We start from the raw sequence: 19,693 nt of genomic DNA on the forward strand, positions 1-19,693 counted from the left end.
ATATGAAATTTAATGTAGTTTTTTTCTAATTCTGTTAAGAAAGCCAATGGTAGCTTGATGGGAATAGCATTGAATCTATAAATTACTTTGGGCAATATGGCGATTTTCACAATATTGATTCTTCCTATCCGTAAGCATGGAATGTTTTTCCATTTGTTTGTGTCCTCTCTTATTTCCTTGAGCAGTGGTTTGTAGTTCTCCTAGAAGAGGTCCTTCACATCCCTTGTAAGTTGTATTCCTAGATATTTTACTCTCTTTGCAGCAATTGTGAATGGGAGTTCACTCATGATTTGGCTCTTTGTTTGTCTATTGTTGGTGTAAAATAGGGATTTTTAAAGCAATCACTATTGAAACTCACAGAAATGAACATGTATTTATATACCATGAAATTCAGCAAAGTTTCATGAAATATTAATGAAGTTTTGCAAGTCTCATTTTAAAATTCAGTGATTAATAATTGATTAGTCTATAAAACAGATATATTGCACAATAGTATCAACACTATAACAAATTTACTTGAAAAATTTAATTGATCTAAACTGCTATTTTTTTCTTACAAATTGGAAAAAATAGTTAAAGCACTCTTATTTGTATTGATAGCATTCTGAAAGTTAAGGTCTCTATTCATCCTCATTCCTTTTTAAAAACTAATGTTGCGTGGAGATATCATAGGGAAAATAAATATTACAAAAATGCATTTCAATTTAAAGAAAAGACGTTTTGTACTCAAGATAGTAACTTGTTTCCAGCAAGTAAACATACAATGATGCAAGTAAAACATATGGGAGGATGAGTTGTAGCAATTTTTCCAGCTTGCCAGTTGCTTCAAATGTGGTCATATGGTCACTATAGTCAATTTCAAAGAAATTAGCATTCAAATTCACCAGCTAACCCCAATTTTATGCTTCATTTTTTCCAGAATTCATACAAAAATAAGAGAGTTAACAGTGTAAAATTTTAATATCGTAAAAACGGGAAAGCCTCTTAGGAAAAAAATTACATCTTAAGAAAGTAGAGAGTTTAGGCTCATAGACAAGGACAATTAATATAAGAAACTCCATAGTTTTCTTTCTTTAAATTAGAATAACTATGGAAGATTTGTCAGGCATTCTATGAAATCAGTGGATGGGAATGCACCCACCCCTAAAACCCAAACAAACAAAAATAATGTATCTCTTAATCTGTCTGTCTCTCTTTCTCTTTCTCCTTTATGTGCATATGTGTGATAAGATATCTACCATCCCTTTAGCAGGTTTACATATTCAAGCTGATTCTACTCCATTTTTATTGTGAAATAGTTGGTACATACCAAGTGTTAGATGCATGCCTAAACTATGAAACATAATAGTAAATAATTAAATAAATATCTGTGAACATATTCTCCATTTAAATAAAGGGAACATAACCATTTCTCTTGTAGATTTATCATCCCATATTTTTGCCTTTCTATCAGACACACACACACACGCACACACACAAACACACTGTTTCCAAATTTGTTTTAACATTTATTTTATTTTTGCAACATATTTATTATCTATATGTATACCACAGTTTAACTTGGAGTTTTCTGCTTTGTCTTATTAAAATATTTTCATATGTATGCATTTTCTGCTCGTAAAATTTCAACGCTCATTGCTATAATGCAATCATTTTCATCTCTATACAAGTATTATACAAGTATTAATTCCTTGAAAATTTAGTTATCCATTTTCTTAGTAGTCATTATGTTGTTTCTACATGTACAGCATTAAAAACAATACTGCTATCATGTTCTTTTCCATGTTTCCTGGGAAAAATGCACAAGAATTCACTTGTTTATAAGATGCCACTAAATTACTTTCCAGAGTAATTATACCAACTTACAAACTCATAGTTACTGTATGGAGTTCCTGAGCACCACAAACATCCAACCAACATTTTACAGTCTTATAAATTCAAATTTATGCCAAATTGTGATATGAAATATTATTTTAATGTAGTTTCAACTATAAATTTTCTGATATCTAAGGCTGAGGATATTGTCAAATGTTTTTGACCACTGTGTTATCTTCTGATATGTTTGTTTATAACTTTCTCCCATTTCTCTATTGTGTTTTACTTTTCAATTTTTAGTATCTTTTAACTTTTATGTCAATTATTCCTTTGTTGATTAGATGAAAAACATTTTCCCGACATGTCCATGCTATTTTTTCCTTCTTTATGTTGCCTACACTTACTTCAAAAATAATCCCTCATCAGACAGACTGCAAGCAATTAAATAAAAGTGCTTTTTCCATAAAGACCCTGACACACTTTGACAGTCCAAAGCAGGATAAGTCTGTAGATTACTGAGCAGTTTCACTTGCACAGGTGGAAAAATATTATCCCTACTTTGTGGTTATCAGTTGAGGACACTAGAATCTGGGGAAGGACACAAGGATCTCAAGTTCTGGTTATAGCATCTCCTCCTGTGATGCAGGAGAATGGGAAAAACATTTTGATGGATTTGATGGTGACAGGAGAGTTATTATAGTCAAACGAGTATGAGAAAGAGAAATAGACAGATGACATTTAAAAACTAAAACTATCTACCAATTTCTGAAACTGTTAGGACAAATTTAATTATAACAATGCTGGATTTCATGCAAAACAGATGAATGTTTCAATTAGAAGATTTATCTAACAGTTATGCTAATCCTTTTATTTTCTCACAAGTGTTTGACTGGGAAAAATGATGATAAAAACAAAAATTCAGATAAATTCAATAGAAAGCTTCCACAAGCCTTAGTGACAAATACATGTGAAGTATTTGGCTTTCTTTGGATTATGGTAACATTTTTTGCCAGGCCTGGCTGCTTGTAATAGTTTTGAAGTCCTAAAGTCATAATGCAGTGCAATGTCACATATTAAGGTTAGAAGACAATTCTCCATGACATTTCATTTCTGCATTTTGTATCAGCTTTTTTCCTATACTAAATTCCAAGTACGTTTATATAGCAAGCAGCTTTGGAAGACAGAAAGAGTCTCTCTCCAGAACAGAGGACAAATTTGTTTACTGGCCAGTTTAGAAGAAATAATATCTTCCTCCAAAACAGAAAAAAAAATGTAGACAGGTTTGCTAATAGTCATTTTTAAAAGATTAGGGTTTCTTAAGCTCAGAGTTCTTCAGCTGTGACATAACTCAACTGTGTGCAAATCCCCCTGAGCCCAGCTCAGGTTCAACTCCGTGGAGCTTGGTGGGTAAGAGGAACTGATGCACTGCCTGCTCTGTGATGCATAATAGAGTAATAAACTCCTTTTTCTCTAACCCAGGAGCTTCATGTCTCCTGTCATCATCTAGGAAAGTGGTATCTTGCAATCGGTAAAATCTCAGACCCAGCACAGTTCTTGAAATGTAAAATGACTCTTCTTTTACTTTCATTTCTTGGGAAGCATGTTTTTATTATCTGTCACTACCACACATTCTTACAGAACTTTCTGAGAGTTCCTCCAGTAATAGAAGGGCTTATGAATGCTCATGGAAGTGGATAAAAATGTATCGTAAGTGGAGATGTTTCTTAATCATACTATACTAGTTGTCTTTCAAATTTTCTGTTGTATTAAATCTCTAAAAGCATAAGAGAATTTTCTGAGATGACTAATCTGGTAAAGGAAAGTGCAACATGATAAAACAATTCTGACCTTAAATTAGCTTAAATTTTTAAAAAGTGATTAATTATTATTCACATTTTTGTACATAAGATGCTGAATCCGGTGAAACAGTCTATAATGAACGAAGATCAATACTAAAATATAGTGCATAACTATTGGAAATGTAAGTTTTCTACTTCATATACATTTATGCCCTAGTCAAAAATTAGGGAGATCCTAAGGAAACTTCTATTACTTTTGTTTTAGTAAGAAGCTAAATGTTTTTAACTACTGTAAGTAATCCAAGGTATATAATATGCAATAAAAGGGGTTGGGTTATTGATCTGAGTTACATTTTTATATTTAGTGTCTCAATGGTCCAGTGACTATTTGTGTAGGATGTGGTAAAAGGTTTTTTTTTTTAATTACAGAAATATATCATCAGGTTCCTTCCAACTCTAAGACCTAATATTTTTACAACTGTCAGAAATTTTTAAAAATATATACAAATACTTCTAATTTTGAATTTTTTGTAACAAAATTTTAATTGCATGGTTATATTTTACATGCCCGTAAATTAGTTCTCAATTGGAATCATCTTGCATTCATTGTGACACAATATTCTTCAGTTTCATTGCTTACATATGCTAAAAACTAAAGTAAGAGTTGAGATATACTGGGGCATTTCAGGAATAATATGCATTGGTTTTATATAACTTTCTAAAACCTTATGTGTTCGGAAAGCTTAACTCATCTAAATGTAGTCTATAACTCATAAGATTACATACTAATTATTCATTCTTTTTGTCTTTAAACTGTAAAAAAAAACTGATACAATCTCTTTAAGAAATTAGTTTCTTAGAGCACTATGAATTTATTTATAATGACATTCTTTGAAGAAACATACAATTACTCCAAATAAAATTTTAAAAAATCTAATGTATATTACAATTTGAAAGTTTAAAATGTTAAAGCCAATATATTATATACAAGCAGTTTCAAAGACAGCATGTATTGGTTTGAAAATGTAACTTATTTCTTAGAAAAAAGTAAACTGGACAGTTATTTGTGGAGAACAAAGTAAACAAACACATAATCCAAACTGTGATAAAGTTTTTTTTTTCTCTAAGAGCAATACAACTGAAATATTTGATTTCACTCTAATTCTAGCTCAGTAAATGGTAAAAAAGAAAACCCCTGACCTAAACTTAATAAATTATTTTAACCTATTATTTTTATATTGGTGTTTATTATAATGTTGGAGTTAGTGGAAATCATGTCTGCTTTATTCTGGAAACAGGAATATATAGAGATAGGGATACATACAGAAGAAAGAGAAAGCTAGAAGAAAAAAGTAAAAAGTACTGGTTTTTAGCAATGATGAAAAGCATGTTTTAGGTGACAAAATGAGATGCATGTAAATGACAAGAAGGCTCTCTGTATCCTGAAAACATTCAATTCAGAGTGACCTGTGGCCATAAATTACCAGAACGAAGCTTCAGATCCCAGTCTTGTAATTTCATCAAGGCCAACAAGATGCAATCTTGAAAACCGTTTGCATGGTGTGAGGACGAATTGATGCCCTTGTTCTTTCAGACGGCTGAGCTTGATGCACAGAGTCTGACTACTTTTGTGTCTCTGTGTAGCCGTATATGGTCATTGTAAATAATTAAGTAGAAATTTGTTACCCTTTTGTCAAATGTATTTCTGATGTTGCTCTTCCTAGCTTCCATTAAGAAATCCCTTGATTAAATTTTAAAGTCTTAAACAATTTGAGCGTCTGAGAGCACTGGATACAAACTACAATTTAAATGTTTTGCAGGGGAAAGTCATATTCTCTTTGGGAGTAGGGGAAATAATGTTAGGTATTTAGTATGCAGCCCCATGATTCCTTTTCAAGACACAATATTACAGATTTGATTACCAACCCTGTAGCTGGTCCTTGTAGGTCATTTATTTTCTCAACTACTGTCTTGTAGATTTTAAAAATATGTTGCTTAAAATATTTGAGAATATTTTAAGTTAAGCAAAATATGCTTGTAACTAGAAATTTAAATTCTTAGTCACTCCAGCTCTTACATAACATGATAATAAGAAAATATGGAACAAATGTGTTTTTTTTTTGTAATTTACAACCGTAATTCTTTTTTACATGTTTATTTACAGTATTCTAAAATAATTTTTAGACAAGGAAACAAAACAAAAAGAAAAGGAACTAAATAGTGAAATACAATTTTCCTTATGCTTTAGAAAATGAGTAACTGTTTAAATTTTAATTATATTCTTCCTCAAATGCATGAATTCAAAACAGATTGGTATGAATATGTGACACTTGTTGTGGTTTTATACCATATTTATTATCTATATTTTGGAAAAAAATAAAACAGCCTTTAAACCTAGAATACATATAATTCAAAAAAACAAAATATGGCATTTAGTTTTCTATTCTAATTAATAAAGAAACAGAACACATTTTGTATTGTGAGGTGATATTCCACAGCAACATAATTAAAAGTTTTCTGGGGATTTTTCACTTTCTTTTACGTGGGTGAATGCTACAAGTCTTTATTCCTTCTCTCTGCATGTCATTTTTCCTTTGCCTCAATAAAATGGATGAAAATGAAATTTATATTTATAGTATTTGGAACTACGCTCCTCAGGGACTTTATTTTCATGGTGATGCATTCCCTTAATAACTCGTCTTCTATTTTGACCACTGTAGTCATGACATTTACATAGTGTATGTGTCTCTTTCATTTTGGGATAAGAAAATTAGAAACCTCGTGATTTCCTTTTTATTCAGTAATTCTATCCGGGTTTTGAATTATGCTTTGCATATTATAAACCCTGGCTCTAAATAGAAAGTGCTAAAAAATTAAATTTGTACCACTTCACTCATACTGCCTCATCCTCACTCCCAAACTTTGCCTTTCATGAACTCTAAAGTGTTCATGTTCATGCTCCATTATTTTTATATTTCAGTGCCCGCTAGTCTTTGACTACTGAAACCTGACAGTGCAAACCAAATTTAAATGTAAGGGTTGTTGATCCAGAGACAGATGCTGGCCATAGCAGGCCGCCACCTCTACTGTTTCTTTTAGGGGAATGCTCTCCACAGGCTGGCTATGGTCACAGCCCCTGCTCAAGCCTATCCCATAGAAATGCTCTCTTGTAACATTACCTCCTGCTCTGAAAGAGAAAGAGGTGGATAGCCTCAGATTTATAGCTGGAATCTCTAATTTAATCAATCATCACAACGTAAGTTTTTTTTTTTTTTTTTTTTTGAGACGGAGTCTTGCTCTGTCACCCAGGCTGGAGTGTAGTGGCGGGATCTCGGCTCACTGCAAGCTCCGCCTCCCGGGTTCACGTCATTCTCCTGCCTCAGCCTCCGAAATAGCTGGGACTACAGGAGCCCGCCACTACGCCAGGCTAATTTTTGTTTTGTATTTTTTTGTATTTTTGTATTTTTTTAGGGGTTTCACAGTGTTAGCCAGGATGGTGTCGATCTCCTGACCTCGTGATCCGCCCGCCTCGGCTTCCCAAAGTGCTGGGATTACAGGCGTGAGCCACCGCGCCCGGCCTGTTTCTTTATTAAAATAAAAAAAGAAGACTAATTTGTGCTTGTACAGTTGCATTAAGGATTGAGATTATATATATGTAAATGAACGTGATCCTGATAAACACTAGGCTTCCAGTAAGTGGTTAACATCTTTTGTTACATCTGTTAAAATCCTAGTCCCAGATCCTTGGATAAGAGAGGTGCTATGGTTTTGATTTGGTTATTAAGTCAACACATCTATTTTAAAGGTGTTAAGCAGGAAAAGAGTTTTGATTACAACATTAAAATCACAGGCATGGAGAAGGGGAGCTTTGAAAAATATCGATGTGTGGGTCTCACCTCCACAGATTCTGATATAATTGAGCTGGGTGCTGTGTTGGGCGTTGGGAATATTAAGAGCCCCCTGAATTATCCTAACGTGCAGCCAAAACTGAGAGCCACTGGTGTAGTGTCCCATGCATTCGTGGTGTTATTTTTAATTTAACAAGTCCTTCATGAGATACAAAGTCTTGCAGTAGTTCTCCAGCTGGGAGGTATCATCCACTTGGGGGTATTTATAAATGTTTATAGGCAGTTTTGTTTTTTATAGTGACTGATGTCACTGGTGGAGGCAGAGAGAATCATTGCTCCTAACCCACGGCCAGTAGTCCTCCTCTTCCCCAAACACATTGAGATTACAAAGGCATGTTTCTCTAATTATCTCTCTTCCTTCCTTCTTCTCTTTCCCCCTTCCTTCCTTCCATTTTTAAAATCTTTCTTTTAATTTAATATTTTTTTCTTTCACATTTGTTTTAACGATCTCATGGTATTATTAGAGAAAATAAAATAAGAGCTTGAATTTGCCTGTGTCCCCTGGAGACAGGCTAGGATTACTTCAGACAAGAGATGTTCAGGGAAATGTGGTAATTTCTAGAGTATGGGATAGACATTTTGGGCAAGCTGTTCTGAAAGTACTCTTTCACCACTCCAGGTAAGTAGGTATCTGTTCTATTTACTCCTTGCCATCCTTACCCTGAGAAGATAAAAAAGCAATCCATTAATGCAATTTGTAATTTCTTTTCATTGATTACACAATGTTCCAAGGCCACCTTAGAGTACCAAAGCAGCAGCAATAATTAGTACTTATTGAACACCCATTGGGTTCGACACTAGCTCTACATAGTAGACCACTGTGTGAATCTTTAATAATTCTGCTACTGCAAAGTTCAATGGAAAATAGACAGACAAACAGCACGTTTATATCAGGTGGGAATTTATCTTTTCAAGTATATAGTCATAATTTAATTCGAATTTACAATTTTCCCTGTGCTGATTAAATTTACAAGGATTTATTCTTTCTGTCTCTCTGTTTCTGTCTTTTTCACTTGGTTCCCTCAGTTACCTACTTATTCTTGGTAACTATAATTGCCAAATGAAAAACAGCTGCAACTTCTTTTGGCATAATTATATAACTAGTAAAAAATAAGACCAATGTTGATGTACAACACTTGGTTTTGACTATGACATTGTTCAATGTTTCTCTGAACTTCTTTTCTTAGAGTCTAATCACTGATATGTAGAACATATATACTAGAAAACCCTTGTTTCACACCCACCGAGAGGGGAAACATGCAGACACATCAAATGTTAAAGAAGCGTGAGAAGCATGCTATTGAACTATTTTCTATCACTGGATTTTGGGTTTGCTTTATTCCTTTTAATGTAAACTGTTCTAAAGTCAATTATTAAAATCCAAGTTAAGTTGAGAAGGTGTGAGAAAGGGGTATTGGGTTGATAAGCAAGTCAATGACTTAAGTATGGCACCTTGTGATTTTTCTTACTCCTTATCCCTGATATCCCTGGATGCAAATAGTGACAATCCATGTCTTCCTAACAAATAAATCCGGCTATGAAACAGTTAATTTTGCCAATGATTTGTATTAATATGAGTATTTGACTGTTATAGATGAATAAGTAAATAAATAACAGTGAAATAATGAACTTGTTCAGAATTTTGTAAGAATTAAAATGATTCAATGCTTTTCTTTATGCTTTGATGTCTTTTAAGTAATTAATATCATAATATATTGTTGCAAGTACAAAAAGCTTGCATTTCCTAGAACACTGCTATTGAAGAGATCTTTTTGATCTTCATTCATTTTTAATTACTAGAGTTGTGTTGATTTTCAGTTTTTGCAATGGAATATCACACAAAGCACACTAGTGCATAAAGGAATGGGTAAAGATCCCAGTGCACTCTTCTTCTGATTTTACAATTGATATTTTTAAGTACTATGTTAGATAAAATACTAAAGCCTCCAGCAGGAGAGTGAATTTACCAAAATAATTCTATATAAAGATATTGATTAAAATTTTTAATAGAGAGTATAAGGCATCAGAACATTTGAGTATTTTATTTAAAGATCCATAGCCAAATAAGTAGAACTTATTTTTATAACTTTATGGCCTTTAATAACAGTATAACTATTTAACTATGAAAACCTGTTCACCTGCCCAGCATGAATGCTATCCTTTCTGCCATAAGCATCTTCCCTTTCCAAAGTTTACACATTTATTCTTTTAAAGTGATTTCTCTTATCTATTATATAATGAGATAAAATCACCTTTGACCTTATTTGGGAGATAAGGAAAAAGAGCATATTCATCTGGTTGCATATGAAGAAATTAATTATGAAGTAGTTACGCCCTGTGCTATATTGCTGATATGTTTAGTGTTTTAACAAAAATATTCCATTTTAGATTCGATTTTTTAAAAACGAAAAAGATGTAAAGATCCATTAAGAAGATTCAAGTGAAATAATTCATTGAAAATATGCAATTATATTAAAATCTAGTATACTATTCTAGCAACCTATTAAAATACTGAAAGTAACACTAACCACAATTCTATTAGGTATGCATAATATAGATAATACTGTAGTCATAATGTATATATATATCTCAATAAGGGGGGACTTTATATTATGATTTCTTTATGTGGTGATATCATATCAATGATCTAGGAAAATACTTATATTTTTATTAACTACAATAAGCTGTTGACTTAAAATGACTTATTAATGTGGCATGCTAATATGTTTTAATATATATCCATATTTAGAAATGGTATATATCTGAGCAGGCTCCCAAGTCATAGAGTTACACTTAATTTAATGAGATGTGTAGCCCATCCTGCCAGAAATTAGTATTAGTATGATCCTTTTATCTAATAGCTACTACTAACCTGCACACCAGAAATATTTTTTAATATTAAGTGACAGTTCATCAGGAATAGAATTTATATGTAATAATACCCTGAGGAATTCTAAAAATTGAGATTTTTGAAAGACAAAAATGTCTTAGAGAACCAGTAAACATATAATAAACCAAAGAGACAATAAGTGAATATGAAATAGGTTATATAGAAGTTTCTGTATGGATGCCAATGACGTTATCACAAAGAAGTCTTCTCATGACCTCAGAAACAAGTTGGGTGGCATATAGAGCAACCATAAGCAAATAAACCTATACAGGTTATGAATCACATCTCAGAGAGCATTTAGGATCAAAAGCTTGAAAGTAGTCCAAAGTGGGCAGATCACCTGAGGTCAGGAGTTTGAGATCAGCCTGGCCAACATGGCGAAACCCCCTCTCTACTAAAAATACAAAAAAATTAGCAGGGCATGGTGGTGTGCACCTATAATCTCAGCTACTTGGGAGGCTGAGGCAGGAGAATTGCTTGAACCAGGGAGGCAGAGGTTGCAGTGAGCCAAGGTTGTGCCACTGCACTCCAGCCTGGGCGACAGAGCGGAACTCAGTCTCAAAAATAAAATAAAATAAAATAAAGCTAAATAACATAAGTCACATTTACATTTGTAACCAAAATACACTGGATTTTTACTAGGCATTATTCTTCCTTCCATTTCATAACATTAACATTTGATTAAATCCAGTATAAAAAATATGATTCCAAAAGTGCTGAAGACATTCAGCTAAAATTTTTGGGTCGATGGAAACTGGATAACATCACATATAACACAACATACGCCTTTTAAAATCTGTCTCTCTGCCCAAAGTTCCGCGCCCAAATAGCAAATTCCTTGTCAGCATATCCATTTATATGATTCCACTTACCTTTCCTATACCTCCTTTCTAAAAGTCTACCTAGGGTCCTATAGGAGTTGGCAAGACTAAAGCTATTTAAGCCCAACTGACGGTTGCTCCTTGAGAATACCTGAAGTCTTTCATTTTACTTCAGTACACAGAGATTAGATGAAGTAATATGAAATCAGTCTGTGATGTGGTAAGTAGAATAATTCTTCCCCCACCCCCAAAATGTCAAAGTCCTAATCACTAGAATTGTCTCAGTTGTTTTGCAATCTTAATTTCTTTTTGACATGTAAGGTATCATATTAACAGGTCCTGGTAATTAGGTTCCACAGGCTGTACAAGAAGCATGATGCTGACATCAACTTGGCTTCTGAGAGGTCTCAGGAAACTTACAATCACAGAGAAAGGTGAATGGGGAGGCCAGCACTTCACATAGCCAGAGCAGGAGGGAGAGGGGGCGAGGTGCCACACACTTTTAAACAACCAGATCTCATGATACCTCTATCATGAGAACAGCACCAAAGGGATGGTGCTAAGCCATTCATGAAGGATCTACCCTCAGCATCCAATCACCTCCCAGCAGGCCCCACCTCCAACACTGGGGATTAAAATTTGACATAAGATTTGGGTGGGGACACAGATCCAAACCATATCAGATACTATCATCTTTGGGTTATTGTGTTAGTCAGGGTTCTCTAAAGGGATAGAACTAATGGGATATATATATAGAATGTGTGTGTGTGTGTGTGTGTGTATATATATATCCCGTTAGTTCTATCCCTTTAGAGATGTATATATATCATTATATGTATGTGTGTGTGTATATATATATATATATATATATATATAGGAGTTTATTAAGAAGCATTAACTCATGTGATCACAAGGTGAGGATCCACTATAGGCAAGCTGAGGAGCAAGGAAGCCAGTTCGAGTCCCAAAATCTCAAAAGTCAGGAAGCTGACATTGCAGCCTTCAGTCTGTGGTCAAAGGTCCAAGAGTCCCAAAGCTGAAGAACTTGGAGTTTAATGTTCGAGGACAGGAAGCATTCAGCACTGGGGGAGAAAGATGGAGGCTAGAAGACTCAGCTAGTCTAGTCTTTCCACGTTCTTCTGCCTGCTTTTATTCTGGCCATGCTGACAGCTGATTAGATTGTGCCCACCCAGATTGAGGGTGGGTCTGCCTTTCCCAGTCCACTGACTCAAATGTTAATATCCTTTGGCAACACCCTCACAGACACACCCAGGAACAATACTTTGCATCCTTCAATCCAATCAGTTGACACTCAATATTAACCATCACAGCTATCTTCTTAATTTTCTACCCTTTCACTAAGAGGCTTCAAGATTCTGCCTCCCTAGCCTGCTCTTATGCATTCTGCTGCTATTCCTTGAGGTTCTACCTTTGACCCAATCTTCTAGTTTGACTTCTAATAGCTGAGTGATCTCATCGATAACCAGCATTCATTCATTCTTATATAAAGATGTTTTTCAGATACATATTTTCTACTCAGATATCTATCCTAAGTTTCAAAACTGCATATTTCACTGTCGGGCATGAACCTACATTGCAAGTTGTTAATCAAGCTCATTATATCAACAGTCTTAATCCCTCCTCTTTGAATCAAGCTGACACTCTTTTGTTCCTTAAGTTGTGATATACAAATTTCTGTCTTACCAATCTTTCTTCTATCTGCCTTGCCTCAATTCCTACAATAGACCAAAGATATTTATAATTACTTAAATACATTAGACTATTTCATATCTCCTTTCTCTGGTTGCAGTCATCGTTCTACCTGGGATCCATTTATTCTTATGACACTTCCTAAGTTCACTCTAGCTGGATGAAGTGCCCCTTATCTGTGCCCCCTTCAGACCATGCACAGTCTTTTTTCTTTCTGTTTTAGCGTTCATCAAATGTTATTGATTTTTTATTTTAGCACACATCTCTAACAGCCAGCATGAGCAATGCTTTTCAGAAGAAAGAATTATCTCATTTTGTTTCCCATTGCCCAACCATGTGATAGGCACTGATCAAAATAGGCAATGAATAAGTATTTGTTGAATGAAAGTGAATTGAAGATGTACAGAAGCCTATTAATACAATTGCCATACTTTCTCCAGTAAGGCTTCAAATCCTCAGCCAGAATTAAATAAAATATATAATGGACTTACTCAGGTTTGGCCATCAGTAAATGTGCACAAAAGATATCAAGCAATATCTCTTAGTGTGAATATATTATGGGTTTGGGCTTTATAAGATGACAAATCACATTAGAATTATGTTGGAAAATTATGATAATGGCTGGGCATTGGGAAATAATTAAATACTATAATGGGGAGAAAGAGTAAAGGACATTAGGAGTTGACACAGGGAGTTATACTAAAAGAAAAAATGCATGTTTGTCATCCAACCAGAATGTAAAATCTTGGAAGTACCAAGTGATAGTAGTAGTTCACCTATAACTTTTAATCTAAATAATATATTATTACCTAACTGAAAAGTATATATTAAATGCTCTTTAAGGACTATTTGTTAAGACTTACACGTTTAATTACTCATATTATAGCAAATTGAATTCTGAACATGTTATCTTTGCAACAAAATTTGAACTATAAGACGTATTTTCTCTTTCCAGTTTCTGTATTCTGAGTAACAGACTTTCCTGGGCGGCCTTGTATAACAGCTCCTTGAAAATGCCTGGATGAATTTTCTATAGTACATGATGACCTCAAAATAATTTCTTTTTAAATCCTGAAGGCCGGGTGTGGTGACTCACTCCTGTAATCCCAGCACTTTGGGAGGCTGAGGTGGGCAGATCACCTGAGATCAGGAGTTCGAGACCAGCCTGGCCAACATGGAGAAACCCCGTCTCTACTAAAAATACAAAATTAGCCAAGTGTGGTGGTGCATGCCTGTAATCCCAGCTACTCGGGAGGCTGAGGCAGGAGAATCACTTGAACCTGGGAGGCGGAGGTTGCGGTGAGCCAAGATTGCACCATTGCACTCCAGCCTGGGCAACAACAGTGAAGCTCCATCTAAAAAAAAAAAAAAAAATCCTGGAACAGTAATGAAGTAAATGGTGATAGTAATAATAGTAATATTGATAAGTTATTGCTATCTCCCTCTTTGATATGGCATTTAAGTCCCATGTGGTATTACAGAATACATTTCTTGTTGAATGGAAGAGGAATGGACAGAGAAGATATTTGCTAGAGCAGAAAGAAAGAGGGTCTGGGATCAAGGGCTTCCTCTGGCCTAAGAGGAGTGATATATGAAGAGACAGCTATGTATTAGAATTGAGAGTAGTATGTGTTGACAGGTGTTGGGTTTGTCTGGAGTAAGAAAATTGTGAAAATCACGTCTAATGATTTTAGGCTTACCAGAGAATGAAGAAGCAATGTCACCCGCTAAATGAGACAAGCAGAGATAATATTGAAAGCAGAAGGAGATCTGGAAACTTGGAAAGACCTGCCATAAGGCAGCCTAAGTGAATCCACAAAATAATAAAATAAAATGATTGATAAGTAAAAATAAGGGTTTGATACAAATTATGGTTTGATAGCAAAGATTATAGTGACCCATTCAGTAGAACCTTATGATTTTGTCCAACACTGCTTTAAAGTGCAGAAGCAAATTAGAGGAAATGAGATTAAAATGTTGACCAAAGGCTGCAAATGGCATGGCAAGTAGCGAGGAATGTCAAGAGAGAAAATATTTCAGGATGTGATGGATAATAATGAAAAAACTTGAGAATAACTACATATCTATGATGCAAGGTGTTGTTTATGAATTACTGTAGGTCAAGATAAGTATGGATAATTTTAGAATTTGTTCTGTCCCATTGGGATTTATTACAGTAGAAGTTTATGTGAAGTAGAACGTATATTCTTTCTTAGATGTTTAGCTTTCAATTATAATTAATATCTGTTAATTCTAATTCAAACAATCTATATATTAGAATAGAAAAAGGTATTCTATGAGTAAATGTTATGAATTAGATTCTTAGATTCTTAGCTAAATTTTACACAGTGTAGGTAGAAAAAGTGAACTCAGAGTCATTTTAGCAAACTATTAGAAATGGGACTGAAGTGATACACAGAAGCTTATGGGTGGATATACAGTTTCTCAGTTCCAGAGTGCCTTGGGTTCCAATGAGGTGAATTAAAAATGAAGCCTATAGATAGCAAACTTTTGAGATCACTGATTTTTTTTTTTAACTATACTTGGTGCTAAAGAAAAGAATCAAGCATGTATGTTATCACCTAATGGAATGGGAGTCAACATAAAGAAGCCAACTCTCCATAAAATTGATCCAGCCTGGTGGTTAAGGACCAGGATGTATGGATCCCTCTAAGGCAGACCTGTTGGAGAAGTAAATTTCCTAAAGGAATGAATTAGAAAAATATATGAAGTCACCCATTATTAACATATAAGAATGGAATAATATGCTATGCATACTAGTTGATAGTATCCTTGGGAATGGCTGGACACTTCCTCAGTGTGGTCTTATTTCCAACCTAAAATAGACAGCAAAGGAAAGTTCTATTCAGTGATTTCTCATTTGAACTAAGCAAGAAATAAGAATTATATATCTTTTATCAGCTGACTGTGTGCATGTTTTCAGAGCCCTCTACTTGTAAAAGCAGTAACTGCATGTATACTTGGCCATGCTCCAACTGTATCTAATTTACCACCTTTTTGCACAGTATGAACTTTAAGCCATCCAATCAAAAACTTTTCATTTATAGCCTATGAAATATGAATGCAAATTTTCATAATATATTTTAAAACTTATTGTTAACTGTTTTTTGGAGTTACTATTTCTGAAATGCTTATATATACCATTTAATCCTATCTATTTCTTTTCTGACTGTGTGTGCACAGATGTGCATAACTTTATGAAATGGATACTTCTTTCTTGGAGAGCAGATTTAAAATATATTAAGTAATTATTCTAAATCCTTTAAGACATTTTGATAATAGAGCAGACAGTATAATTTTGAGTACTGAAATCAGAAGCATTTTTTAAAGAATGTATACTCTAGAGGGAAATACTTAATATTGTTTCTTCCCGTTAAATCAAGTAATTTTTAAATAAAATTCCAAGATATCTTTGTAAATTAATGTGCATGGTAATTCTTAATATTTTTCTTTTATTCTTCTTTCTTTCTTTCTATTGCATCATTTTTAAAAATGTGATCAGCTTAATCTGTCTCAAGGCATAATTTAAAAATGAGAAAGGCTTTGATTTTTCTATTTTTTTTCCTTTCCCTTTTTATTGTTAATTTCAGCAACAGTGAGTGCCATGCAGACTCTTAGGAGAAGTGTTAGGGACAATAGTTTTAAGAATGATCAAATCTTGCCATGTTATTGAAGATATTTTAAAGCTGATTCTATTGCCCTTCTTATTCTCTCACTAAGAATTGAAGAGAAGCACTTTGGGCAGCCCCTTATGATGCTATGTGCATTTCTGGTTACCAGGACGACAGATTATGGTCATCTTCTCCCATTGCCATAGAAACAAGGCTACAACAAATGTAAATTGCCTATAATTTTCTCATTCTCATAATTTGCATTCACATTTACATGAGCAGAGATGTACAAAAGCAGGTGTGATTCATAGCTCTTTACAGAGATGTTAAGCCTTAAATCACTATTATTTTCAATGTAAAATCAATTTAAAATGGAAAAACTCTAAAAGATTAATTGCAAGTTGTTTTAAAATATTTCTGAGTATTAAGGAAGGTTGAATCTGATATAGAAACTTTCAAACTAATTTTACACCTTCTAAATTAAACAAAATTGAACAAAGTTCTACATCCTATATTACACTTACTATTTTCCTCATATTCTTGATGTCATCAGAAAAAATAAAAAAATAAATCAATTAAGTACTATTTTATGTAAAATTCAATCCACAATACTATTAACTTTCTCTCATACAGTGCCAGCTACCACAAAACTATTAATGCACTATATTTTGTTCTGTATTATTCCAACAATTGTTACTTTTTGCAAAACAATTGTAACTAACAAAAATGTCAAATTTCCATTTATGAATAGATTACTAATGTATTCTTTCATTCACTCACTAAAAAATATTGTATGCAAACCACCCAGTGGTTTGTGTTCCTGGGTTTACAAAACAAACCACAAAGAACATGAGAAGCAAGCAACATAATGTGAAGTTAAACAATGGGCTTTTAATTTAATAATGTTTAATAAAATATAGAATGGAATAAGTCATTTTTATCACTTTGAGTCTCAAGTTATCACCATATAAATGGGGATAGCAATAACACCTGCTTCATCAATTTTTTCTAAGTCAAATGAAATAATGCAATTGAAATTATTTTGCACTTGGTCAAATTTTATAAATATAAATATTATAATATTTTATAAATATTATTATAACTTTCAGAAAGTTCATAATATATTAGAAGAAGTTAGACAAGTATATACAGTCTGGCCTCTGTATCTGTGGTTCCATATCTGCTAATTCAACCAACCATGGATAAAAAATATTTGGAAAAAAATAAATTCCACAAAGTTCTAAAAGCAGAACTTTAATTTGCAATGCACTTATGACTACATTAAATCCACGCAAATTAAGTGGTGGATTAATTGGCATGGATTTATTGTATTAGGATATTATAAGAAATCTAAACATAATTTAAAGTATATGGGAGGATGTGCATAGGTTGTATGCAAATATTATGCACCTGAAATATTTCCCCTTTATTTAGTTTCTATTGTTGCACTGAAGTCACAATGTGGAGCTGGATCTTATCTACACAAAGAACAGTGATGCAGCTTTGATTTGCCTTGTTCTTTGTAATAACCTCTCTTTCTCTCAGACTCTGGCATTTGATTGAATGGAGTTAGATCAGGAGATAATCTGAGAGGCTATCCAATCAACATGCTTATAGTGTTCCTTCATCTCTCCACACAAAGACTGAAGTGTTCTCGGTCAAGGAGCTGGCTGTGGAGCCACATTGTCACCTCAGTTTTCCTTTCTTACTCGAATGTACTTTGTGCAAATCAAGGAGAGGTGGCAAACTGGTCAAATCTGCTGGCCAAATCCTTTTATTGTCCATGGCCCTAATATGTAACAATGGTCTGTGGCCTACCATGATGATCTTATTTTTCCAAATGACTCCATTTTCAGAAAATAATCACAGGCATTACCTTCTGGGAAGGCATGAGGTAGGCTTACCTGCTTTGTATAATAAATGTAAACATGGATTAAATTATTACCTTACATCTTTTAGAAATGTTCAAAGGAATTTTTTTTTAATTTTGGATATGATTATAAAATGAATGAATTATCCGGGAAGCACTAAACACTCAGTACAGAGAAAAAACATATTCTGGTTTATAGCAGTAAAAGTTTACATAGAATTTAAATGTATTTAGTGTAATATTAATTATCATTATCATTCCCCCACCCAATCATAGTATTGATTAAGTCTCTATTCAGGACTTAGTACTTCTACCCTGATTTTGTTCTCGTGTTCTTTTTTGTGTTAAATTCCTAGCTACGTTCCTTTCAATTAGGTTGACAGCCCCTAAATATCAGGACAAAACATAAATTGTAGAGTATAATCAGTCAGTTAGAAATGTCTGTAAAATGCAATACTTTTTTCATAGCTACCCACTTTATCAACTGTATTTCTGTTTATCTTTTCATCTCAAAGTCTATTCAAAATTATGATTGTAAAAATCTATACAATATGGGAATTGCAAAGCAAACAGCATTTGAGAGAAATGTGTAATGTCATTTCAATATATAAACAAACTCAGCTTTTTACAGGAGAGGAGTTTTTGTGTAAGTTCATATATTCAAGAGGTTACAGAACACTTCGTAAGTGAATAATCTCTCTAGCATCACTACCATTACTAAAAAATTCTTTGTCTCCGGGCTCTTTCCTATCTCACACTAGAAAAATACCACTGAAAGGGAACAGCTTGTCCCTGTGGCTTTTGAACTTAGCGTAGTCAGATGAGTAAGTACATTTTATGCATGCAGTTAGAGGTTAGTAAAAATAAAGATGTGATGAAATCATGCTGGAATTCCAACCTCTTGAATTTCCATCCTAGCACTTCTTCGAGTTTATAAGGAAGATATATGAAGAGCGTTTATAGTTTATTTCTATAGGGATTTGGCTACAATCTCCTACACAAAGTCGTTAATGATGAAAAGCTAGAATGTACCATTATGGACCTAAGTTTTCTTTTGTAGTCCTGGTTTAGAATCAAAGCACTCTTCTGCTCTTTTTATTCTAGGCCATGCCATTCTTTTACTTGAATAGAAAAAAAAACCATATTTTTTCACTTATCACCAGGTGAAATTTAACACTTCCTTCAATTATGACTATGCACAAAAAAACCCACAGCTGTATCAGCAAATCTGTCTATATTTACAAATAG

This window comes from Homo sapiens, chromosome 13 (assembly GCF_000001405.40).
Source record: "Homo sapiens chromosome 13, GRCh38.p14 Primary Assembly".
Taxonomy (NCBI): Eukaryota; Metazoa; Chordata; class Mammalia; order Primates; family Hominidae; genus Homo; species Homo sapiens.